At 40.8% G+C, this 26,052-nt stretch overlaps 1 protein-coding gene across 28 annotated transcripts in view; it reads right to left on the bottom strand.

The window, feature by feature from the left end:
- Positions 1-26,052, bottom strand: part of SYNE2 (spectrin repeat containing nuclear envelope protein 2) — a 464,854-nt gene that overhangs the window by 50,427 nt on the left and 388,375 nt on the right. For all 28 annotated transcript variants that reach the window (XM_047431152.1, XM_011536576.3, XM_047431149.1 and 25 more), the window contains 11 exons: positions 23,307-23,459; positions 17,228-17,398; positions 16,581-16,711; positions 13,747-13,951; positions 12,442-12,621; positions 10,613-10,738; positions 8,636-8,790; positions 8,384-8,528; positions 7,052-7,146; positions 5,561-5,795; positions 885-1,079 (listed from right to left, as the gene is read on the bottom strand). In XM_047431152.1, the coding sequence (XP_047287108.1) occupies positions 885-1,079; positions 5,561-5,795; positions 7,052-7,146; positions 8,384-8,528; positions 8,636-8,790; positions 10,613-10,738; positions 12,442-12,621; positions 13,747-13,951; positions 16,581-16,711; positions 17,228-17,398; positions 23,307-23,459 (1,791 nt within the window). The remainder of the gene's footprint in view (positions 1-884; positions 1,080-5,560; positions 5,796-7,051; positions 7,147-8,383; positions 8,529-8,635; positions 8,791-10,612; positions 10,739-12,441; positions 12,622-13,746; positions 13,952-16,580; positions 16,712-17,227; positions 17,399-23,306; positions 23,460-26,052) is intronic.

Genomic DNA, 26,052 nt, shown 5'->3' with positions numbered 1-26,052 from the left:
AGAAAGCAAAGGAGAAGCAAAACCATGAGTTCTTCAAACTGTTATTTGCAATTATCATTATGCTTCACAAACATGGCAGATGCTTAACAAATGTTTGCTAGTTAATGAATTCCATATAGTCCATATATCAAATAAAATTCAGATACTTTATTCACAGGAGAAATTTTCAAGCCCTAACTCAGCATATATTTACTCTTAATTCAGAAAAATATGTCTGGTAAGTTTGGTTATCTAGTTTTGGCACACACGACAGACTAGAGAGAGTGGGCTATAAGAAGTAAGTGAGCTTGGAGAAAGACAAAGTAAAAATAGACAGTTTGACATTAAGAGGAGAGAAAGAAAAATGATAAAAACCATATCAGAACTCAAAGAGCACAGTAGTTCAGGGAGGGCCACAGGTTCAAAGTAATTCAGAGGCCTTGAGAACAACTTGGTATCTTAGCATAACAAAACAATAATGATTTTCCTAACAGTGACTCAAAATATAACACTGTAGTTCTTAAAGGTATAATCATACATTATTTGGAAAATTCACTTATATGGAAAAGTGCATTCTCTGATGATAGCAGAAAAATGAAGTGTTTCTGTCTGTTCCATACATGGAACATTAGTTTTATGTATTGAACTTTCATTGAATATGTTTCCTGTTTCATAAAAGTAAGTATCTTAATAGAATCTCAAGTATTTAAATACTAAACATTGAGCTCTTGCAATGCTATATCATCATTTCACATTAAGTAACTGGCATGACTTACAGATTACAGCTTGAGTTGGAAACTCATGATACTATAGTTTCCTAAAACCATTTCCATTTTCACACCACAAATGAAAATCTATGTACTGAATTTGAATATCATGAATGGAAAAGTAAGTGGTGAGTTTACCTCTACAGTGCTCTGGAACTGCTTAATCATCTCTGCCAGCTGGGGCTCCATGTCTTTCCAGCTGTCCTGAAGTTGACTGATTCTCCTACCCACAGACTCTTTAGTTTTCAGGTCAGTTGTGAGCAGTAACTTTTCTCCAGCTTCCAAGGTTAGGGCACAGGTAGTTCGCCTCCTTTGAAAATGAATTTCTTTATTCTAAGAAAAAAAAGAGAAGTAATTTGCTTAGGTTTCTGATGTGTTCAAAATGTGATTGTGTGTGCCTGTGTATATTTCCTTCAGAGCTTTTCTTAAGAGTTAAACTAGATATAAATTAGACAAATTGGGTCAGAATGTACATACACACACACATCAAAAGCTAATGTTTTACACTGAGTAGATAAGCATACCACTAAGTGAGGTGTTCTTAAAATAATTTCCAAAGATTGGTGAGATAAGATTCTCAGTGTAATGATTAGCAGCACAGAGAAATAAAAAAATATACATCATAGAATAATAGCCTGCAAGGTAAATGGATCTAAGAGTATTAAGAAAGTGAATGGAGTAACAGACCTGAAATCAAGTAACAGACCTTATATTACGCTAAACAAATGTAAAAGGAAAGAACGCGAGAAAGGGTAAAATACAAAAAATATACATTTCTTAAGCTTTTTATGAGCACATAAACATGTACATTGATGTGTGCCCCAAAGGCGCAGCTTTAAAAAATTTCATCCGAATATCATGTAGGCTTTCTGAAAATTAAAAACAATTTAAAAACAATAGTTTTAGACCCGAAGTGATGGCTCATGCCTGTAATCCCAGCACTTTGGGAGGCCAAGACAGGCAGATCAGTTGAGCTCAGGGGTTCGAGACCAGCCTGGCCAACATGGAGAAACCCTGACTCTACTAAAAATACAAAAATTAGCCAGGCATGGTGGTGGATGCCTGTAATTCCAGCTACTTGGGAGGCTGAGTCCCAAGAATCACTTTAACCTGGGAGGCAGAGATTGCAGTGAGCCAAGATCACACCACTGCACTCCAGCCTGGGTGACAGAGTGACGCTTTGTCTCAAGGAAAAAAAAAAAAAAAAATTTAAGAGACAAGGTCTTGTTTATTTTTATTTTTTTCTATATTTTAGTGGCGGTGTTACAGCTCCGTGACTGCTCCTGCAGAGCAGGGCCGCTCCGCAGGCAGTGTGCAGAGAGTAGCGAAGGTCCTGTTTTTTAAGAGATGCGCCACCACACCTGGCTACATGGGCGTTCTTTAAAGAGATTGAAACTAGGTATTTATAATACAAAAATAAAGTAAAAACTTTAAAATTGATCCATACTCCCAAAGGCATTTGGTTTTAGAGGAAAAATTAAATAGTTTTTGTCTGTTCTAAATATGTTTTCCTGGCTGGGCATTCTGGTGAGTGCCTGTGGTCCCAGCTACTCGGGTGGCCGAGGTAGCCTCACCAGAAGTTTGAGGTTACAGTGAGCTATGATCACGCCACTGCACTCCAGCCTGGGAGACAGAGTGAGTACCTATCTCTAAAAAAATAAGTAAATAAATAAATAATACATAAATATTATTTCCTTCACCTTGAAATTTCTTGAAGGAGACAAAGTGTGGGCATTTTTCCAAAATGGGAGCTGATAAACATCAACAGAGCATCACTAATTTACAAAGGCATTTCTGAGAAGCCTGAAGATCACCCATACCCAAAGGAGGAAAGCCAAATGCACCCTCAGGAGCAGCACACAAATAAGAGAAACAGCAACTGGACCACAGGCACTCCACGTGCATCTCTCCAACATATTGTGCTGCGCAAATGAGCCACTCGTATTAGACCTGCTCCTCCCTTAGTCTTCCCTAACTCTGTCAACAGCACACTATTCACCAAGATGCTTGAGCTTCAACCCAGAGTCGTCCTTCATCTAGCTTTTCCTTTACCAGACTCACAAACCGACACTCCAAAATACGGTGTTTTGACACGCTGAACTGAAGAAGTCTCAGGGTCTCTCTACCCTAACGCACTGCGTCTCCTACAGAAGCTGAAGTCCTTTATCTGCCTAAGACCCGGACTCACCAAGGAGAATGATTGTTTTTTCTTTCCCTCCCTGTTACCTCATTATCTTATTGCAGAAAAGAAGACCCAGATGTAACCACACCCAAATAGGCTCTTTCAAGATGACTGCCTCCAGCGATCACTGAAATTCCAAAGATAACCTTTTTTTTTTTTTCCAGACAGGTCTTGCTCTGTTACCCAGGCTGGAGTGCAGTGGTGTGACCATGGCTCGTTGCAGCCTCAACCTCCCGGGCTCAAGTGTGACCCTCCTGCCTCAGCCTCCTGAGCAGCTGGGAGTACAGGCGTGCACCACCACACCTGGCTAAATTTTGAATTTTTTTGTAGAGACAGGGGTCTCACTATGTTGTACACAGGCTGGTCTCAAACTGGGCTCAAGGGATCCTCCCACCTCGGCCTCCCAAAGTGTTGGGATTTCAGCCAATTCTCATCAAACTGTGGCACCTCTGTCCCCTCCTCTCAAACTCATGTGGACACATATGATAGCCTTCATTGTTAGAGTGTGGCAGAAGCGATATATGTGACTTCTGAGGTTGGGTTTATAGGGCAATACAGCTTGTTCTCGGGATAAGAATCTTTGAAACCATTGGGGTACCATATAAGAAGTCTGGCCACTGGAAGCCCTCACGTGGTAACACAACAGAGAATGATGCCCAAGGAGAGGAGCTCCACTGTCCCAGCTCCTTGCTGCTCCAGTTGTTCCAGCCTAAGCATCAGTCATGTGAGTGAGCTTCAGATGACACCAGCCCCAGCCACCATCTGACTGCAACTGCCTGAGAGACCCCAAGCAGGAACCACCAACTCCTGTCAACCCCAAGAATGACGAGACAGAATGATGAGTGTCATTATGCAGCGATAGGTAAGTGAGATGTTAGGATTCCTACTTTTCCTTTAGCTCCCCTACAATCAGGAACAGCCAGAGTGATCTTTAAAAAATATGGGGCTGGGCACAGTGGCTCACGCCTGTAATCCCAGCACTTTGGGAAGCTGAGGTGGGTGGATCACCTGAGGTCAGGAGTTCGAGACCAGCCTGGCCAACAGGGTGAAACCTTGTCTCTACTAAAAACACAAAAATTAGCTGGGCATGGTGGCGGGCGCCTGTAATCCCAGCTACTTGGGAGGCTGAGACACGAGAATTGCTTCAACCTGGGAGGCAGAGGTTGCAGTGAGCCAAGATCGCAACACTGCACTCCAGCCTGGGCGACAGAGTGAGACTCCGTCCCAAAAAAAAGAAAAACAAGCAAACAGTGTCATGCTGCCCTCTCCCTCAGCTGAAATGCTTCAAAGGCTCCCTGGTTCCAGCCAGACCAGGTAATCCAGCTGCCACACCCAACCTGCAAAACACTCCTCCCTACCCGCCTTTCTAGTTCACCTCCTGCCACTACTGCCTTGCCAGCTCTGCGCCAGTCACACTGGCCTTTTTGCCGTTCCTCTGTGCTGAGCTTGTTCTCATCTTGGGGACTTGGAGTAAGCCTCTCCTTCAGTCTGAAAGGCTCTTTCCTTAGATCTTGCATGGCTGGCTCCTTCTCATCATTCAGTCCCAGGTTAAATGTCACATGGCCAGAGACAACCCAATCTAAAGGAGCCACACATCCCCATCTCTACTGGCCCTGTTTTAATGATCTACGTAAGTCTTATTACAATCTGATATTTTATTATTTATTAATTTATCTGATTAATTATTCTGGTTTACTACTTTGTCTGCCCTTATGAGAGCGAAGGTCTTCTCTCCATCCACAGAATACACCCAGCACTTAGGACAGTGATTGGCACAGAGAAGGTACTCAATTAATATGCGATGATTGCATAATGAGTGAGGGCTGTACAGGATTTCAGGAGGGTGGTGTTTGTTGAGAGGCTTCTCTAAGGTGGAGAGTAGCTCTACAGCTCCATGGGACATGCCAACCACCTATGCTAATCCTGTGCTCATCAGGCAAGTTTCTTTTGGAAAGCTTTGTTGGCTGAATGAATTTGCCCCTTTATTTTTATTTTTTTTAAATCAGTTTTTAAAATTTTGTGAGTGCATGAGGTTTTTAAATATAGGCATGCAATGTCCAATAAGCACATCATGGAGAACGGGGTTTCCATCCCCTCAAGCATTTATCCTTTGAGTTACAAATAATCCAATTACACTCCTTAAGTTATTTAAAAATATATAATTAAATTATTATCGACTATAGTCACCCTACTGTGCTATCAAATAGTAGGTCTTATTCATTCTATTTTTTTTGTACCCATTGAATTTGCCCTTCAAGAGTAAACAATGCCATCACTGTACATTACTACACTAATGGTCAATTTATACATTAGTCAGTGGCTTAAGAATCTGGGTGGTTTGAGTCTGTTGCCCTAAACCTCCCCCAATTTATTCACCCATCTCCACTCCATGCCTCCTCTCATGGCCCAAGAGAACCCTAGTATTTCTGGATGAATGGGTAATATCGGGTTTCCAACCCCACAATGCTAGGGACTGGGCTGTGGGGGGTGGTGACTGCACCTTGCTGGCCTCACACTGCAGAGAGCCCACTTGGATCACATCATCATCAAAAACATTAAACCAAAGGTGAATGAACATCTTGCAAACAATGACCACCCTGTGGTTCTCACACTGCTACGATGCATACACTACCTTCAGCTCATGGATCAGACTTCTGGTTTGGTAGAGGCTGAAGCGCTCCTGGCCCTTCACTGCAGATAGCAGGTGGCTGGTGTCAGTGAGGAAGCGAAACAAGTTCTCCACAGAAGTAGTGAAATCTTGCCACTGCCTCACCAGCCCATCAACGTCACCCTTCCTCTGCCGAACACCCTGGACAGCATTCTGCCACCGATCCGTCAGCTTTGAGAATTCTGTAATAAATTCTGGTCTGGGGAAAAACAAATGGTTATAGAATCCAGACATCGACATGTAGAAAAAATAACTATCAGTGGGTAATAGCAGCTCAGATTCAGTTTTTATAAGTACAATTTACATGAAAAAAATCCCAACTTCTAAACACCTGAGTGCTATTCAATTTAAACATGATTAAGGCTTTGGGAAGGGCAGCATGCAGACTGAGTTTAGCAGAAGGTATCTGCACGTAACCTGGTATTTTGCCAGCATGCATAACCATTCCCTTAAACAAACTGAAGCTGTTTTAATATACATTAGGCCAAACGTGGAAAGGAAAACTAGAAACTGGATCAAAGGGAAACAGATGAACAGGCAGGTACTTTGTAACACTATGGATTACTTGAGTGTACTTTACATAATTTTAGCAATAAAGAGCATGCTTTATTGCAGCTACTCAACAGTTCTTTTCTGGATAAATAATATCCTTCACACGAGAAATAAGGCCTCTTGTTTATTATGGGAAAGTCATGTTTTTCTGTACAGATCAAATAGAAATTAGCTTATCATCCTGGAACTGGCTTGCATTTACTGCTTCAGAGCTAGGGAGAAAAGGGCTTTACATTTCTTAGTTATGCTGAAAGAAGATTCAGAGGTGTATGGGTGGTGATGTGGAAGAAAAATCATACCCATTAGGACATTTAGAGAAGTATTTAAATGGCCAGGCCATTTCCAGGCTATCTGCCATGTGTACAGCTGCATGAGCAGACTCACTCAGCATTAGCAGACTGGCCAAAGGTGCTCTGTTCAGCCTGATTGGCACTGCCCAGTGACCCTAAGCCCACATATGTAGCATGGAGAGAAAGCCCTTCTTTCAGACTTATAGGATTTAGCTACCTACTGGGAACATTAGGAATAATCATTTTTTAGAAATTATTTTTTAAGTCGCAAAACATCATGAGGATGATGGTAGAGAAGGAAACAGTACAGAAGAATCATTTGGGGGCACAAACTTAGTTAACTATACTTGAGAAGTGGGCATTTTCCAAAGCTTCTGGGCTGCTAACCCCATCCACCTACCATACGGAAAAGGTGTCTGTCACAGATGTTTTTATGGTCACCCAGCAAGATCTAGTCCCACTACATAGTTAGAAGCCTGGTCCTATGGTGATCTGTCAACCAACAGGGCACAGGGCACCAACATGGTCAAGGTTCACATGGTGGAAAGCCTGCCCTGACTGAATGCATTACCTTCCATCCGCCCACAACCTTCATGAGGCCCAGACAGCTCACCTGTTCTCTATTTCTGTTGTGTCCAGGAGTTGTAAGGACTGGGTGACATAGGAATCAGCAATTGTCTGGTTTATAGAAACTTCAGCTTCTAACATCTGTATATGAGTCCAAGCAGAAAATATCAGCTAGTAAAATTCATTTTATGAATCTCGGAACCTACATTTCCTATTAAAATCTAAGCTTACAAAGGATATGAGGGATAATTAATTTTCATATTATTTGAACCTACTGCAAAAAATGTTCAACTATCATATCAACATCACCTACGAATATATTCTTAAAAGCAAACAGGTCTAATAATAATTACATCTAATACCCATTTGTTGGGCATTTACGATTTGGTAGGCACTGTAAAACATGCATTGTCTCATTTATTTCTCAGCCTTAGGATTTAAGCACTATTATTACATCCATTTGAAGAGGAGGAATCTAAGGTATAAAGAGGTTCAGTAACTTACTTAAGGCCACTCAGCTTTTTGGCAGGGGTGATTTCATTTTAATTGGATGATCTTAATGTAGCAATGTAGACTTCAATCAGTTACATTAAAAAGTTGCAGTGAAGTAATTCTGCACACTTTTGAAATGTGTCCTTTGTAATCCCAGCACTTTGGGAGGCCGAGGCAGGCGGATCACTTGAGGTCAGAAGTTCGAGACCAGCCTGGCCAACATGGTGAACCCCATCTCTACTAAAAATACAAAAATTAGCCAGGTGCAGTGGCACATGCCTATAGTCCCAGCTACTCGGAAGGGTAAGGCACGAGAATTGCTTGAGCCTGGGGGGTGGAAGTTTCAGTGAGCCGAGATTGCGCCACTGCACTCCAGCCTGGGTGACAGAGGAAGACTCTGTCTCCCCCCACCAAAAAAAGCAGGATCTGCCTATAACCACCAGGAGTATTTTCAAATACATGTCAGCATAAGCACTGAGGAAACTCCTGTGAAATTATTAACGCTACAGTTATAATTATACCAGGTGCTTTAATACTATGGAGAATTATTGAGTGAAAATACAAACATGAGTCGAAGTATTTTATTATACTCTTGATAGAATGGTATAATGTTTGCATTTTGTGGAAGCAAAGTTGTACTAGAAGCTTCCATGTACTGCAGAAAATCTAGGAGTCCTCTCCCTAATAAAATAGAGCAGTAAATGTTGAAATTTATGAAACGTACAAGAATTTTACAAATGACCAATTGACAACTGAATTTGCTTAAAGGTATACATTCTGTGTTTAGGGACTGATAGGTACACTCCCTGTGTTTTATTTAAAGCTATCTTTCCCTGACTCCTGCCCCAGATGAGCGGTTCAAGGGTGGCAGAGAACACAGGTTTACCTTATAGGTTTTCTGCTGCTCCAGGAGCTCAGGAAGGCTGTTAGCCACATCCACTTTGAGTGCTTCTTCTATCTTCTCCAAAAGTTGGATCCACTTTTCACAGCAATAAAGAAACTTTTCATTCAATCCAATTCCCTGAAGCTCACTACAAAGGTTTAAAACAAAACACACCCATGTTAACAATGCCATTCCCGAGCTGAAGCCGTTAATTTTACCTTAATTGAAACAACGACAGAGAAGGGATGTTCTAACCTGCAGCGCTCCAGTGCCGTGGCCGTGGCCCGAATCCATTGCCGGTTCATATTTTGTAACGTCTTCACAGCTACGTCACTAAGTGGGAGCTTGAGGCTCACTTCATTCAAATGTTCAATATCAGGTGATTGGGCTGTCAGTGCCAGCACATGATTCTATTTTTAAAAAATTGAAGTACAGGTTTTTGGATGCCAATAAGATATCTAGATGACAAAAAACCCTCCTTACCTCAAAGATAAAGGAAAACTGGGGCCTGAACAGGCAAATGACTTGCCCACAGTCAAACAGCTTGCTAATGTTAGAGTGGGACCTGAATTCAGCTATCTCAATGCTGTGCCTTCTAGAATACCAACCTGCAACACGGCCAGCACCCAAACAGCCCAGGAAATAGAAAGTTATCTCAGATTTTGTCACCGAAGAATACAGAAAATAGGCTTTTTTATTTTTTATTTTTCGGAATGGAGTCTCATTCTGTCGCCCAGGCTGGACTGCAGTATCATGATCTCGGCTCACTGCAACCTCCGCCTCCTGGGTTCAAACGATTCTCCTGCTTCAGCCTCCCAAGTAGGTGGAATTACAAGTGCCTGCCACCACACCTGGCTAATTTTTGTATTTTTAGTTTCACCATGTTGGCCAGCTGGTCTAAAACTCTGACCTTGGATGATCCACCTGCCTCGGCCTCCCAAAGTGCTGGGATTACAGGCGTGAGCCACTGCACCCAGCCTAACATGCTTTTTAAAAAAGGACCAATTCTGGGCTTTTAAGTCCCATTTAGTCTGCCAATAACCTGGCCTTCAACAAACAGGTCAAGCACAGAGTGATGAAAATTTGATTCTTAAAATAACTCTAGCAGAGCAAGGGACTTAAACACCCATATTTTGATAGAACATGACATTGCAAGAAAGCAAACTTATCAAAATTTCATTTTTAAAAAGATATTCCAGCGACAGCTTCTAAGCTGACAAGCAAACATCCTTAACAATATTGAAGTTACCACTACAGAACTCTGCTGTAATATTCTAGGTCAGGATAAGCAAACTTTTTCTGTAAAAGGGCAGATCATAAATATTTTAGGCATTTGTGGGCCATATGGTCTCTGTAGCAACTAGTCAACTCTGCCCTTGTAGCGTGAAAACTATAATAGACAATATGTAAATGAAAGGGCATGGCTGTGTTCCATCAAAATTTTATTTAAAAAAAAATCAGTGATGGACAGTGCACCACAGTTTGTTGACTGCTGATCTAAGTTATGAATATTGATTCCTAGGAGAGTTACAAGACCAGATCTAATTCTTTCAGTCATTTATGTTTACTAAACTAAACTTACGAAGGTAAAGAAAAATGCATAATAGAATTTTTTTTATATTAAACTAACCAGAAAAATTCAATTAATCACAACAGCCAATTTCTAGATTATTTCAGTTCACTGACGGTAATTATGAAAAAACATCTACTACAAATTACTCTGACGTATTACTAAAAGAGATCCCTATGTCATCCTACTTTTTCTAGGCCTGAGGGAAAATAGGACAGTAATGAATGGCATAAAAATGACTGTGCTCAAGGGTGAGTTAGGCCAGGCGCAGTGGCTCAGGCCTGTAATCCCAGCACTTTGGGAGGCCGAGGCAGGCGGATCACCTGACGTCAAGAGTTCAAGACCAGCTTGGCCAATATGGTAAAACTTCATCTCTACTAAAAAATACAAAAATTAGCCGGACATGGTGGCACATGTCTGTAGTCCCAGCTACTTGGGAGGCTGAGGCAGGAGAATGGCTTGAACCCGGGAGGTGGAGGTTGCAGTGAGCCGAGATCGTGCCACTGCACTCCAGCCTGGGTGACAGAGCGAGAGTCCGTCTCAAAAAAAAAAAATAAGAGTGAGTTAGGATGCAAGCATTCCATAAGTTCACAGTAATCAGCTTATTTTTTTTAACCTTATGGTGAGTCTAAGCCCTTAGAAAAGACAAATATTGGCAATACCAGGAATGAGTCAGGATTTTCTTTTTCCTGTTGGTGAAGTCTATCCAAATTCTCTTCTTCATGCATAATAAGACCTTTTAAAGATTCCAGCCGGACTCCAAAATCCTTAAACTGTGAGAGAACAAACTAGAACAAGAGAAATTTTCATTAGAAACTATTTTCATGTACATATAAAACAGAATTAAACACAGGCTTGGGAGCTGCTAAAAATTCAAGATGTTTTTGGCTAGGCACGGTGGCTCATGGCTGTAATCCCAGCACTTTGGGAGGCCGAGGTGGGAAGATTGCTTGAGCCCAGGAGTTCAAGACCAGCCTGAGCAACATAGGCAGACTCCATCTCTGCAAAAAATAAAAAATTAGCTGGGCATAGTGGTGTGAGCCTGTGGTCCCAGCTTTTTGGGAGGCTGAGGCAGGAGGATCAACTGAACCTGGGAGGTCAAGGCTGCAGTAAGCTGTAATTATGCCACTGCACGCCAGCCTGGGTGACAGAATAAGACCCTGTCTCCCTGTCTCAAACAAACAAACAAACAAACAAAAAAAAACAAAAAATAAAAAAAAGTAAATTCAAGTTGTTTTCAACACCCAGAAGTTCACTATTATCTCAAGAATCATAGATAAATATTCAGAAGCCCCCTGATTTTTCACTCGTGCCTTTGAGCCTTCCCAAATGGACAGATCACCCGCCTGAGGAGACCACATAGAGAGTCAGTGAGCACTCCGTTCTCTCAGTCCCACTAGTTAAATGTGCTTTTTTGTTTGTTTGTTTTCCTGCTGGTACTGAGATGTGATACTGCAACTCCATGGCCTTCTGTGTAGCTTGTTGACAGCTCCTGCACTAAAGGCTTTATAAAAAGTGAATGAAGGCTGAGAGCAGTGGCTCATGCTTGTAATCCCAGCACTTTGGGAGGCCAAGGTGGGTAGATCACTTGAGGCCAGGAGTTCAAGACCAGCCTGGCCAATGTGGCGAAACCCCATCTCTACTAATTATACAAAAATTAGCCGGCCAGACACAGTGGCTCACGTCTGTAATCCCAGCATTTTGGGAGGCCAAGGCAGGTGGATCACGAGGTCAGGAGATTGAGACCATCCTGGCTAACATGGTGAAACCCTGTCTCTACTAAAAATACAAAAAAATTAGCCAGGCATGGTGGCAGGCACCTGTAGTCCCAGCTACTCGGGAGGCTGAGGCAGGAGAATGGCATAAACCCAGGAGGCGGAGCTTGCAGTGAGCTGAGATCACACCACTGTACTCCAGCCTGGGCGACAGAACGAGACATCTCAAAATAAATAAATAAATAAATAAATAAATAAATAAATAAATAAGCAAGCCAGGCGTGGTGGTGGGTGCCTGTAGTCCCAGCTATCCGGGAGGCTGAGGCAGGAGAATCGCTTGAACCCGGGAGGTGGAGGTTGCAGTGAGCCAAGATTATGCCACTGCACTCTAGCCTGGGTGTCAGGTCAAGAGTCTGTCTCAAAATAAAAAAAAGTGAATGAAGACACGAAGATATGACAAATCATCATGCTTTAAGCAGCTACTTCTATGGCTCAATTACTTGACTCAGAAATCCAAATAACTGTGAGATCTGAACAATGTATGCAATATAATACATATATGACTTCTAGAACTAACATCTTCAATAAGGAAGAAATGATTGCTTAAGATCTGCCCATGTGATTGAAGCTAGAATCGTATACATTTGGGAGCAGCTTCAGTCTGTAATTTTGCTAAGGAGCAGCCCGTAAAGCACTACTGCTTCAAAGGATACAAGGGATTGAGGATGGAATGCAAATGTCTAAGACTAAAACTTGAATGGAAAGAAAAGATGAACCTCAAATTCATTTGCTTTCACAAGCAGCATCTTTTCCAAATAAGCAGCCCTCTGGAGAGAGTGCAGGGGGCCCGGGAGGAGCATGTGGGTGCTGGACTCTGCGGGTTGTGGGAGTCGATCCAGGACACTGGAATTTTGGAGAAAGGCTTCTTTTGTTTTCTGCACATCATGCTGCAGCTCCTGCAGAAGAAAAAGGGATGGCAAACACCTCTTCCTCCTTTCAAACCACAATTCCCTACCCGCTGCTGCTCCATCAAAATCTAGGAGAATATTTGCCCTGAAAACGTAGGCATGATCTTTTGTTATTATTTATTTTAAATAGCTGAAAAGGCTGGGCTTTCTTGAAATGATGTATATCACTGGCGCTTTTCCGAAATTTGTCAGTTCAAAACTAAAAGTGACCACTGACTAATAGAGTCGAGGCTTCTAGTGTATAGAAACTGGAGACAACCTGAGTACTCATGTACTTTATATTTCAGTTGTCAAACAGTTTAGGTATCTGCTTTCATGCTGTTTCAAGAATCAATGCAACTCTGACCCCTGCCTGAGACTTTCTGATATAAATGGATTCACGTGCAGAAACTATAGAATTTTATTAATCAGGCTGATTTTAAGGCTATTCTGGAAATATTGTGTACATAAAATTTGTTTTTTTATTTTTAAATTATCAGCTCAGGTAGAAGTTAATCAGATGTACAGAGCATTATCTGTTGGATTCTCACCTAATTAAATTGGTTGCCACGTTTTGATTTGACCTACAGTAGCAGAAGATACAAAATGCATCTGTTCACTCAGTTCAGAACTAAAGAGTATTCACTTTCTGAGCGTTCATTAACAATAATAGAAAAAACACCATAGAGGAAACTAAGCAAGTCTTTAATGTAGTCTGAAATTTACTATACCCACAGAAAAGGCCTAGCAACATGGCACCAAGTCCATGATTACTGCTAAAACAAGAGATACAACATGTATTATTCTTACAGGGTCACACTCAGTTGAGACACTTGCTTTTACTTCAGATTTCATATGAAGCTTTTGCCTTAGAGATGTAACACTAGAGAGAAAGCACAGACTTGGAACGAGGTGATATCGAGTCCCCCTGATCCAGCTATTTGCTGCCTAGACGTCACCTCTGAGCCACCACCTGGTCCTCCCAGCCTTGCCTATGTCCTACATGGCAAGTTCACAGCACCTGTCCTGACTACTCTGTCCCTGTGGTCTGTCTGGTCCCCAGGTCATGGCTGTCCCTTACCCCATCTGTTGGGCTGACTTGGCCTTGGTTTTCCAAATGGGCTTTGTACCCACCTTTATGTCCTGCAGGGCTGGGGGCAGGATCTCTGCCAGGTTGTTTCCAGACATGCTGATGTTTGCGAGCTGTTGAAACTTTGCTTCCTGCTGCTTCAGCCTTGCGGCAGCTTCACCATGAGCATTGCTATAGGCCTTCCAGAGCTGGAGCAGACTCTGGGCCTTCTGCAACTGGTCTGCAATGGCTTGGTTCACCTGAGTCCACCTGTCAGTGCAACGCAAATAACATAACCCTCATTCTCTCCTTTCTCTTGTAGCGAAAGTACAATGCACACACTCTACTGGTAAGTTACTAGCAGATGGATCATTAAGAAGACACTGTTAAATGGTTTTTAAAATTAGTGGCATCACCATTATAGAAACCATTATATAAAAATAAATCCAAATTAGGCTATTTACTTGACTTTATAATATTGCACAAAAACTACAAAATGTATGATTGGCAACAAATACCTATGATGTTATGAATGTTTCACTCTCTTTTTTTAAGAGAGGGGAGTGATGAAGGGAGCTCAAACTTTTTTTTTTTTTTTTTTGTAGAGACAGGGCCTTGATATGTTGCCCAGGATGGTCTCAAACTCTGCAGCTCAAGTAATCCTCCAACCTCAAGCAATCCTCCTGCCTCAGCCTCCCAAAGTGTTGGGATTATAGGTGTGAGCCATGGTGCGCCCCGCCTATGAATGTCTCTTTGGCAAAGATGGAGAAAACACTGAACTGTATGCCTGATAAAATGACTCCACATGAAGAGGCTCCCAGTTTATAGAGATATGCTATCTTTAAACAGGTTTTAACTTTGTATTTATATCAAATAAAATTTATTATCTGTTTACACAAATGTTCCTTACATAGAAGTGGAAATAAAGGAAATTGTTTTATTATTCCATATACAGACTCTAGTATCTTGCCTTTCTTCCCTACTTTTTTTTTTTTTCTGAAACAGGGTCTTGCTCTGTTGCCCAGGCTGGAGTGCAGTGGTGCAATCTCAGCTCACTGTAGCCTTGACCTCCTGGGCTTAAGTGATCCTCCCATCTCAGCCCCCACAAGTAGCTAGGACCACAGGTGCATGCCACCACGCCTGGCTAATTTTTGTTTTTTTGTAGAGATGGGGTTTCACCATGCTACCCAGGCTGGTCTTGAACTCCTGGACTCAAGTGATCTACCCACCTCGGCCTCCCAAAGTGCTGGGATTACAGGCATGAGCCACTATGCCTGGCCCATTTAACTTTTAAAAAATATTTTCCCCACGTTAGTAATAAAAGAAAATAAGTAAACCTCATTTTAAGTGGCTGTACAAATGGTCTGTGGGTTTTTTTTTCTTTGTTTCCTTAGTTTAATTGCTAAATTCCTTAGTTTAATTCCTGTTTAGTATGGATAGTTAAGATATTTGTAATTTTTGCTATTATGATAATGCTCAGATACAGTTTTATTCAAAAGGCTTTTTTTCTGTATTTCAAGATATTAGTCTTAGACTAGATTTCTGGGAGAATTACAGAGTCAAAGAATATAAAGATGTAAATATTTGTAAGGCTTTGGGAATAAATGGTCAATCTCCTTTCTGAAAGCATTATATTTACATTCTAACATGAAATACATGAGAATGTTTGCTCCACAATATCCTCAACAATATCCTCGACCCTGCTGATTAAAGAATCAAAGGTGGAAAATAGCACACTGCTTTACTTTTATGCATTTCAAAAATCTTATCAGAACTGTCTTTTAAAATAAGATTTTCCCTAATTATAAATACAACATATATTCACTGTCAAAAAGCAAACAAAATCCCTCCAGATATTTTTCTTTTTATCTATCTATCCTACCTACTTACCAATCCATGAGGAAGTTAAAAAATGCTTGACATCTCATTTATCTAGAGGTAACTACTATTAGCATTTTAGTGTTCTTCTCTTCAGTCTTTTTGTTATGCATGTTTTTCAACATGCCTTCCAACATATTCTTGTGCCAACAAGTGAATGTGTACGTGCAGCGTAACAACTGAGTTCCTTTACCAACAGACTGCCCTGCCATACGTTTTGACGGTAGCCCTGATATTGTATGTGGAGTCAGATGCATTTGCAGGTTCCTCTTAGTCTGTCTCCTCCCCGTCTTCCAATAAAGACTGGATCAAGAGCTAAGGGCACCACTGCAGGGTATATAATTTGGGGTCCCTTGTTCATTACTTGTTCGAAGTTGATTTACAAGAGAGGCTGAAACTGCATACAGGAATAATCAGGAAGGACACTTAAGATAGCATAACTCTTCATCCCTATCTCTAATCAATTGGTTGGAGGCCAACTTTTATATCCCACTCATCAAAATAAAAGCCCTGCAATTAACTAGGGCCACACTCCTTAAAGGGAGCTTTCATATCCCACCATAAGTAGTTCATCAAAGAATTCCTTCCAAACCCACAAATGCCCTCCGCAACAGATACTCTAACATCCCCTTTCTTCCACCTTATAATGTTTCCAGTGATGTTTGAACACCCCCTGCAGGATGCCCATCTGGCCCACTCCTTTGTCTGTTTCTGCCTCTGACTTTGGTGTTTCCGAGATCGAACTTGACATTTGGTCTATACTGTCTGTAAGTGAGTACACTGGGGTTGTTATTAGGCCATTTCTAGACTAATTATACCAAACACTTGTACAAGGGATGTCACAGCCCTCATGACATAGAATCTTACATAGACTAGATTCATCAAAGCAGAAGAGACCAGAACAGTAGGAAACCAGTCATCTCAGAGGAGGAAGAAGACTTTACAATGCCTATGCCCCCTCATTCTTCACAAGTCATTAAGATAAAGATATCTATCATTCAAATTATATCTGAAAGCATACCTTTTATGAGTATTTTGGCATTTCTCTTCGATTATTTCAGCAACAGAGGGGCAGAGACCTTTGAGTTTGCCGATAACCTCCTGGAGTTTCTCCCAACTCCCTTCACTGCTCTCAGCTTCATCTTGCAGAGACTAAGAGACACAAACAAGAAATTTAAGTTTCAGAATGGCCTGGCTACTTCCAAAGAAGGTGGCAGCTTCTCAACACTTGCTACTATGTAGCAATAACACTCAAATCTTACAGCTCTGATAAACTATTAGGAATGTGAAGAAAACAATGGAGAAGGCATTCTTTATTTGAGGCTGAACTTTTAAGTACTAAGTAATATAAAGTACTTAGCACTTAGGCATACTGAAAAAAAAAAGGCCACTCAAAAACCAAAACCTTAAATTGTGAAATAATATGGACATGGAAAATAAAGGAAGATTCAACATTTTCAACTCAAAATTCAAACATTTTACAATGTTTTACTGATTTGGCTCATGTGACTTATTTTGGAATTTCCAGTTATTCTTTTGAAACTGCTATTTAACATGCTTTGTGCTTCTCTGTGGGAGGGCACAAACACAGTTATGCCCGTTACTGTGCTTCCTCCCATTTGTAATTTCCTGCCAATAATGCACCATGCCAAGCTCTGGTTAATTTACCTGAAGGTTCTCCACCTGGCATCTCAAGGTCTCCAATGATAACACCACAGGCTTGCTGTGTTCCATGCAGTACCAGAATCGGATTGTCATCATATTCACTTCATCATAGAGTTGATCATAAATCTTCCACTCCTGTAAAACTGACTGCATGGAGGTTTTGAGCTGATTGACCTAGACAAAAAGTGGAAACGTACTGATTTAGAAAATCACTGAGAAGACATGCTCTCCAACAGATCTACCATTGTGTCCAATTTAGGCATTTCAATTTGAGAGTATTGAAGGATCACCAGTGATTAACTGAAGGTGGAAAGGGTAGGTCAATGCATAAGAACATATCAGAGAAGGCTGTTTTATAATGAGTGAATGAAAAAGAGCCCAAAGATCAGAAGGATCAGCACTGAAGGAGTTCAGACTAGGAAGAGACAGCCCAGGGAAAGAACACTGGGTGAGTATTAGAATTTGTGAGTGCAAGGTTCAGTTATATTCTATTAGCTTTCTGACCTTGGGCAACTTATTGGACCCTAGAGTCAGTTTCCTCATCCACAAAACAGAGATAATAATTGAAAACACAAATAAAATAGTGTCTGTGAAAATGCTCTGACAACAGCACAACATTATAAATGTAAGATGTTACCTGGCACTTAAGTCTGATTATTACTACAGAGCAAGCACCAATTGGAGAGGAACATGCTCTACCAAAATGATGGGCAAGTGCAAAGCAGGAGGCAAGCAATGGTGAATGTATTTTGTCCACTGGTATGTTCTGATAATGATGAAAAAAGTCCAAGCATTCTGTTGCATATCCAAAATGATCTCAGATACAATCAAGAGTATGTAAAGAAAACTTACAAATCAATATTAAAGACAGATAAACTAACTAAAAACTGGGCAAAGGAAGTGACTAAACATTTCCCCAAAGAACATATATAATGGTCAATAAACATATGAAAAGACACTGAACATATACAGTCATTAAGGAAACCTAAATCAAAACCACAATGAGATATTATTTCACATCCACTTTGATGGCCATAATCAAAAAGTCAGATAATAATGTGTTGGTGACGATGTGGAAAAACTGGAATCCTCATACATTGCTGGTGGGAATGTAAAATGGTACAGTCACTGTGGAAAACAGCTAGATAGTTCCTCAAAAAATTAAATAGAGTTGCCATATGACCTAACAATTGTACTCTTATACACACAAGAGAATTAAAAGCGTATGTTCACATAAAAACCTGACACAAATGTTCATAGCAGCACGATTCATGAGAGCCTAAAAATGGAAACAACCCACATGTTCATCAACTGATGGAGAGGTAAACTAAATATGGTATATCCATACAATGGAATATTAGCCATAAAAATAAATGAAGTACTGTAAATACTACAACACCGATGATCTTGAAAACATTATGCTTAGTGAAGGAAGCCAGACCCAAAAGGCTATATAGCATATGATTCTATTTATATAAAACGTCCAGAATAGGTAAATCCATAAGAAGGTAGACTAGTGGCTGCCAGGGACTGGAGAAGGGGAAAAGTGGGGAGTGACTGCCAATGGGTATGGAGGTTTCTTTTTGAGGTAATGAAAATGTTCTGTAATGAGATAGTGGTGATGGCTGTGTATCTCTGTTAATATACTAAACATCACTGAACTATACCTTAGAAGGTGAATTTTATGGTATGTGAATTATATCTCAATTTTTAAAAAGGATCTGGGTTGAAATGGAATGTGATCACTATAGTGGCTCCACAGGCCATCTTTATGGGTAGTGTGATGTGAGTTTTGGGTACAATCACACAGCTCTGCACTCAGACCCTGTTTTCTGTTTAATAACTACAAGGAATGCTGGCACATCCACAGTGACAGGGAGGCTCCTCAATCTCTGCCCCAAACAGGGCTGGATAAAAAACCAAAGTGGGACGCTAAAATGTGAGTCTCATGTTGGCAACTATGTGGACTGAATGTCTTTACAAGGGCAGGATGGCTAAGGAAAAGAAACCAAGTTATTTAGTTAAGAAAATAAAGAAGGCGGCCAGGTGTGGTGGCTCACGCCTGTAATCCCAGCACTTTGGGAGGCCAAGGTGGTTGGATCACCTAAGGTCAGGAGTTCAAGACCAGCCTGGTCAACATGGTGAAACCCTGTCTCTACTAATAATACAAAAATTAGCCGGGAGTGGTGGCACACGCCTGTAATCCCAGCTACTAGGGAGGCTGAGGCAGGAGAATCTTTTGAACCTGGAAGGTGGAAGTTGCAGTGAGCTGAGATCATGCCACTGCCCTCCAGCCTGGGCAACAAGAGCAAAACTCTGTCTCCACAAAAAAAAAAAAGGAAAGAAAAAAGAAAATAAAGAAGAAAGGCAAGGAAGGAATTCCTCATCGATGTACATTTTTGCTAGAAATGATCTCACATCTATCTGGGTGGCAGGGATAATTCTGGCACAAAGTACCGCATCATCCCAGAGCCCATATATACATGTCAACACAAGAACTGCCATGGCTCATGTTGCACAAGGCCTTTGCAGCTTCCACAGATAAAGGTGGTGGAACTTCTAGCACCTTAAAGGCCTTCTGGCCTTATAATAAAGCTTCATGGAAAAGACACAGTACATGAGGTTTGAGGGAAAGGATGAGAAAATCATCAAGTAAAATTCACTATACTAAAAACAAGCGGGAGGAATATTTTCAAAATGTTCCAACTGGGGTCATCAGCAGGGCAGCATTTATTGAGCATTGTATAGGCATCAGTATTAAGATAGAAATAAATGACTAGGTGTTATCATCCCCATTTTATAGACCAGAAAATCGAGGCTTAGAGAGGTTAAGTAACCTGACCGAAGATACAGATCAAAAATGGTGCCGCCAGGATCCTTATTTAGGCAGAAACTGCAAAGCCCTTGCTCTTAAACACTAGGTTGTATTGACTCTTGTTTACCCCTGGGCTCAAGTAATCCTCCCATCTCGGCCTCCCGAATAGCTGGGATTACAGGTGCATGCCACCACATCCGGCTAACTTTATTTACTTTTTGTGGAGATGGGATCTCACTCTGTTGCACAGGCTGTTCTTGAACTCCTGGCCTCAAGCGATCCTCCTACCTCAGCCACCCAAAGTGCTGACATTACAGGTTTGAGCCACTGGGCCAGGCCTACATTGACTCTTGACAGCTTATAGATGGATGATCTGTGCCTCACGCCTTCTGCGTTTTTTTTTTTTTTACTTTATTGAAATATAATTCATGTACCATACGATTCATCTATTTAAAATGTGTAATCTCCATAATCAATTTTAGAACATTTTCATGACTCTGAAAAGAAACTGCATAACTATTAGCAGTCACTCCTCGTTCTCCCCAGCCACTAATCTGCCTTCTGTCTTTATAGAATTGTCCATTCTGGTTATTCCACGTAAACAGAATCAAACAATATGTGACCTTTTGTGACTGGCGTCTTTCACTCACCATAATGTTTCCAAGATCATCAGTGTTGTAGTATATATATATATATGTATGTACTACTTCATTCCTTTTGTATGGATAGACCACGTTTTCTTTATACATTCATTAGTAGATGGACAGTTGGGTTGTTTACACTTTCTGGCTATCATGAATCATGCTATGAATATTCACGTATAAGTTTTTGGCGTGGACACGTTTTCATTTCTCTTGGGCTATCTATGGAGGAGTAGAACTGCTAAGTTGCATGGTAACTTTATGTTTAACCATTTGAGGAACTGCCAGACTCTTTTCCAACTCCATGGAACCCGGCCAGCAGTTTGTGAGGGTTACGTCTCCACATCCACATTAACACTTGTTACTGTCTGTCTTTTTGTTACAGCTATCCTAGTGGGTGGGAAGTGGTACTTCTTTGTGGTGTTGATTTTCATTTCCTTGATGGTTAATGACATGGAATATCTTTTCAATGCACTTTTCGGCCATTTGTATTGTCTTCTTTACAGAAATGTTTATTCAGATCATTTGTCTTTTTTTTTTTTTTTTTTTTGAGACAGGGTCTCACTGTGTTGCCCAGGCTGGAGTGCAGTGGCATAGTCTTGCCTTACTGCTCCTTCCACCTCCCAGGCTCAGGTGATCCTCGTGCCTCAGCCTCCTAAGTAGCTGGACTACAGGCACACACCACCACACCCAGCTAATTTTTTCTATTTTTGGTAGAGATAGGGTTTTGCCATGTTGGCCAGGCTGGTCTTAAACTGCTGAATTCAAGCGATCTGCCCACCTTGGCCTCCCAAAGTGCTGGGATTACAGGCGTGAGCCACTGAGCCTGGCTTGTATCCATTTTTTCCATTTGGTCATTTTTCCTTTTATTATCAAGTTGTGATAAATCTTCATATATTCTAGGTGTAAGTCCCTTATCAAATATATGATTTATAAATACTTTTTTTAACAATTTGTGGTTTGCCTTTACTTTTTTGATGCTGTGCTTTAAAACATCAAGGTGTTTAGTTTTGATGAAGTCCAATGTATCTATTTTTTTCTTTGATAGCTTACGATTTTGGTGTCATTCTAGGTAACCCCTGCCTAATCCATGAAGTCATGAAGATTTACACCTGTGTTTTCTTCTAAGTTTTATACTTTTAGCTCTAATACTTGTGTCTTTTTTTTTTTTTTTAATACAAATGGGGGTCTTGCTATGTTGCCCAGGCTGGTCTTGAATTCCTTGCCTCAAATGATCTCCCACCTCAGTCTCCCAAAGTGTTGGGATTACAGGCATAAGCCACCATGTCTGGCCTGCATTTATGTCTTTGATCTATTTTAATTTTTGTATATTGTATGAATGCAGAGGTCTAACTTCATTATTTTACATGTGGATACATGGTTGTCCCAGCACCATTTTTCAAGAAAGTGTTTTCCCTCATTAAATTGTCTGAGGATCCTTGTTGAAAATCAATTGACTACAAATGTGAGGGCTTATTTCTGGACTCTCAATTCCATTCCAAGTATATATATGTCTATCCTTATGACAGTACTATCTGCATGTTTTCACATGCATTATTTCATTTAATTTTCTCTTTATATTTTTATTATATTGTAATTATCTGTTTACATGTGTTTCTTCCACTAGCCTATGAGTTCTTTGAGGGTAGGATTCATTTATTTTCTTGTTTACCTTTGTAACCCTGGCAGTGAGCACAGTACCTCACACAATGTATGCTTAACAAATGACTGAATAAGCTCATCTCTATTTTTCTGCTACATTCCTGGGGGAATGAGGACTGAGGAATGAGGCTGAGTGTTGCCTATGGATTTCATGCAGGTTATTCCCTATTCCCTCTTGGTACAAATGGTTGAAAGTAGATTTTAGTAGGTGACAACCCACAATGAAGGTTCTCTAGGAAACATGGACATATCTATAATTGATGGTATAGATTATACCATTGATAGATTATACCAATTGATTGGTATAATTGGTTAGTATTTTTAGTTCTCTTCCTCTGTTGTGGGAAAATGTCAAGGTTGCAATGTCTAGAGATGCCTGAGCTCGCTCTCTTTTGGTGCTCTCCTCCTGGAAGGGGTAAAATGCTGACATTGACATGCCTTTTGTAAGATTATTAGATGTCTTGCACCCTTTCTTCCTTTATACTCTCTCTTCAACACCATGTAGTGTTTCTTCCAAACTTTAGAGTCCTCCTGGAGCTGACTATGCTCCTAGCTCATAGAGGCTACATGATACAGGATCACTTCCTCCCTGAGGCATCTCCCTGTACATGGAGACACTGCTTCATCACTGTTTCTGTATATCTTGCCAGGAAACAATGCCAGATACTCTGTTGGGTTTGGGGTATGGAGATATTTATGTCTGAGTGAGTACATTAGACAAAACAAAGATAACCAAGTGGATTTGCAGCCTGTCAATGACGTTGGAATTGGTGGCTTTGCCTCTAATTATTGAGTGCATAAAATGGGACTTGAAATGCTTCTAATTTACTTCAATTTTTCTCAGCAACTTTTCAGTGTTTGGTATAGAGAGTCTCCATGAGTAAAGGACGAAAACAACTACAACGACAAATAAGGTAAAAGAATATGTGAAGAGAAATAGCACATTTCAAATGAATTCTAGTACCTGAGTGAGAACACTGCTTCTCTTTTGAAATAACTCATCAATTCGGGATGCTGTATCTTCTAACAATGGCACTGCCCCACTCTCCAAAGTCAGATAACTTTGTTTCAACTCATCTAGTGCTTTGGATTTAATTGCAAGTTGATTTTCTATATCCTGGAAGAGTAAGAGGAAAAGGTTTTCAATGCACAATATTACAAAACAATTAATAAGGTGTCAGAGACAGGAGTTCACTCTTTTCAAGTAAAAATGTCATTAGATTATATAATTAAATAGCATTACATCAAAGAAATTTAAATCATAATACTCTTAGTTCAATTACATATGACACAACTCTGTATTTTAGGAGAATCTAGGCAACACGTCTGAACCATCATGGCAGAGCAGAAAGGATGCTGGTCCGAGATCTGGTCCCCATTCCACGTCTGCCCTGCACTGGCTGTTTGACCAGGCATAAGTCATCGAACCTTTCAGTCTCCATTTTCTCATTTGGAAAAAGTGATGATACCCACAGCATGTGTGCCAAGCTAAGAACTCAAATAAAATCACGAGCAAGAAGGTGCCTTTAAACCATATAGCATCATATAAATGACAGACGATATAACTGTTGGTAGTTCAGTAATAACTTTAATCATTTTCTACCTCTTAGTTTATTAATTCACTCATAAGAGGCACCCTGACCTGGTCTACTCTTTATAGATACATTTTTAAAAACCTACAGGATCCCTCTACTACAAAGGACACCATGGGGCCAGCAGTCTGAAAACAGAGATGAATGAGGCCAGCAGCAATGGTGCCACTCTACTCAGAGGAAGGACGGTCGGAGCTGCTTATTTGTCCTTCTCAGGATTGCAGTTGAAATCCAACTTGGAAAAAGTTTAAACTTTTTAAAAATTATTAAAGCATTACATGCTCATTACAAAGAAACTGGAAAACACAAGAGATCTTTGGCATTCAGAGGGATTCATTTTGAATTCCCCTCAAGTCTCCCAATTCACAAATTTGGGACGCGCTTCTGCATACTTTCTTTAGCATTACATTCCCATCCAGATGCATGTGTTCTGAATGCATGGCCTCAAGATAACGACCCTTAGCTCATGTTCTATTTCTCTCTTGAAAATTGCTTTGCATAAGGATCCCAGCTTTTTTTATTTTTATTTTTTGAAAATTGCTTTGCCTAAGGATCCCAGCCTTTTTTTTTTTTTTTTGAAAATTGCTTTGCCTAAGGATCCCAGCTTTTTTTTTGAAAATTGCTTTGCCTAAGGATCCCAGCTTTTTTTTTTTTTTTTTTTTTTTTTTAAATCCTTTGTAAGAATCACTGCATGGTCCATAAGGAAAGAGAAACATGAGTGCCTCGTGGGCATGGGGTAGCTGAGCAGGTGGCTTGTACCCTGGGAGGGACAAGCTCCCTTGTGCTAGCCTCACAGAGGAGCACTGAAATCCAGTCCCGCAAAACTGCCAGATTACCACGTGAGGAGCCCTCAGGTCACTCTTGGAAGGTGGAAATCACAAACTCTAAACCAATGAATGTCAGGGGTCTTCTGGACTGGAAAGTAGAAAAAGGGAAAAAAATCTGTTCCATAAGAAACTGATAGCTAGGTTTGGGAGTAAGAACGGATGATGAGAGAATGGAGCTGGAGGAATCTTCCACTGTATGACCCTCTATGCTTTTAGAATTTAGAGCCACATGAATATATAGCGTATGAACAGAAAACCTCTCACTGTCGTAACAATCCACCCATACTAACATGTGGGTGAATTTATGAAATATTATTCTTCTGGACTGGTTACAAAGGCACCCAGGAAACAAAACGACTTCTCTGAAATAGCCTTTGCCAATGAGATTTAGTCAGCTGCTACCTCTGTCCATCTCTGCCACCCTAACTCGCTCCCTCACACCCTGACAGCCTTATTTATTAGCATGTTTCTTTTATCATAGGTTTAACTTTTTTCATCTGCAAAGTTATAAATGAAAACACTTTAATATTAAATCACTTTCCTTCTTTGAATTTATAAAACAGTCTCTCCTAAAGGCTTGACTAACTAGATTTCTAAAAACACTTATTTACTAATAAGCTGTCATAATTCCCCTATAATGTAAAGAAAACTGGTAAGAAATGACTACAAAGCAGACAAAAGGAAGTAACAACACACACACACACACACACCCTTCAAAAATGGCAGCATAAACAACAGCCATGCCGGGCACAGTGGCTCACGCCTGTAATCCCAGCACTTTGGGAGGCCAAGGCAGGTGGATCACTTGAGCCCAGGAGTTTGACACCAGCCTGGGAAACATGACAAAACTCTGCCGTTACAAAAAAATACAAAAGTTAGCTGGGTGTGGTGGCACACGCCTACAGTCCCAGCTACTTGAGAGGCTGAGGCGGGAGGATCCTTTTTTTTTTTTTTTTTTTTTTTTTTTTTTGAGAGAGAATCTTGCTCTGTCACCCATGCTGCAGTAGGCATGATCTCGGCTCACTGAAAACTCCGCCTCCGGGATTCAAGTCATTTTCCTGCCTCAGTCTCCCAAGTAGCTGAGGCTACAGGCATGTGCCACCATGCCCAGCTAATTTTGAGCCACCGCGCCCAGAGTGGGAGGATCTCTTAAGCCTAGGAGCTCAAGGCTGAAGTGAGTTATGATTGCAACACTGCACTCCAGCCTGGGTGACAGAGTGAGACCCTGTATCAAAAAAAAAAAAAAAAAAAAAAGAAAAGAAAAAAAAAAGCCATGGCAATAGCAGCACAC

The sequence above is a fragment of the Homo sapiens genome, chromosome 14 (assembly GCF_000001405.40).
Source record: "Homo sapiens chromosome 14, GRCh38.p14 Primary Assembly".
Classification (NCBI taxonomy): Eukaryota; Metazoa; Chordata; class Mammalia; order Primates; family Hominidae; genus Homo; species Homo sapiens.
Note: the sequence above shows the minus strand (reverse complement) of the source record. Positions and strands in the feature narration are given on the sequence as shown.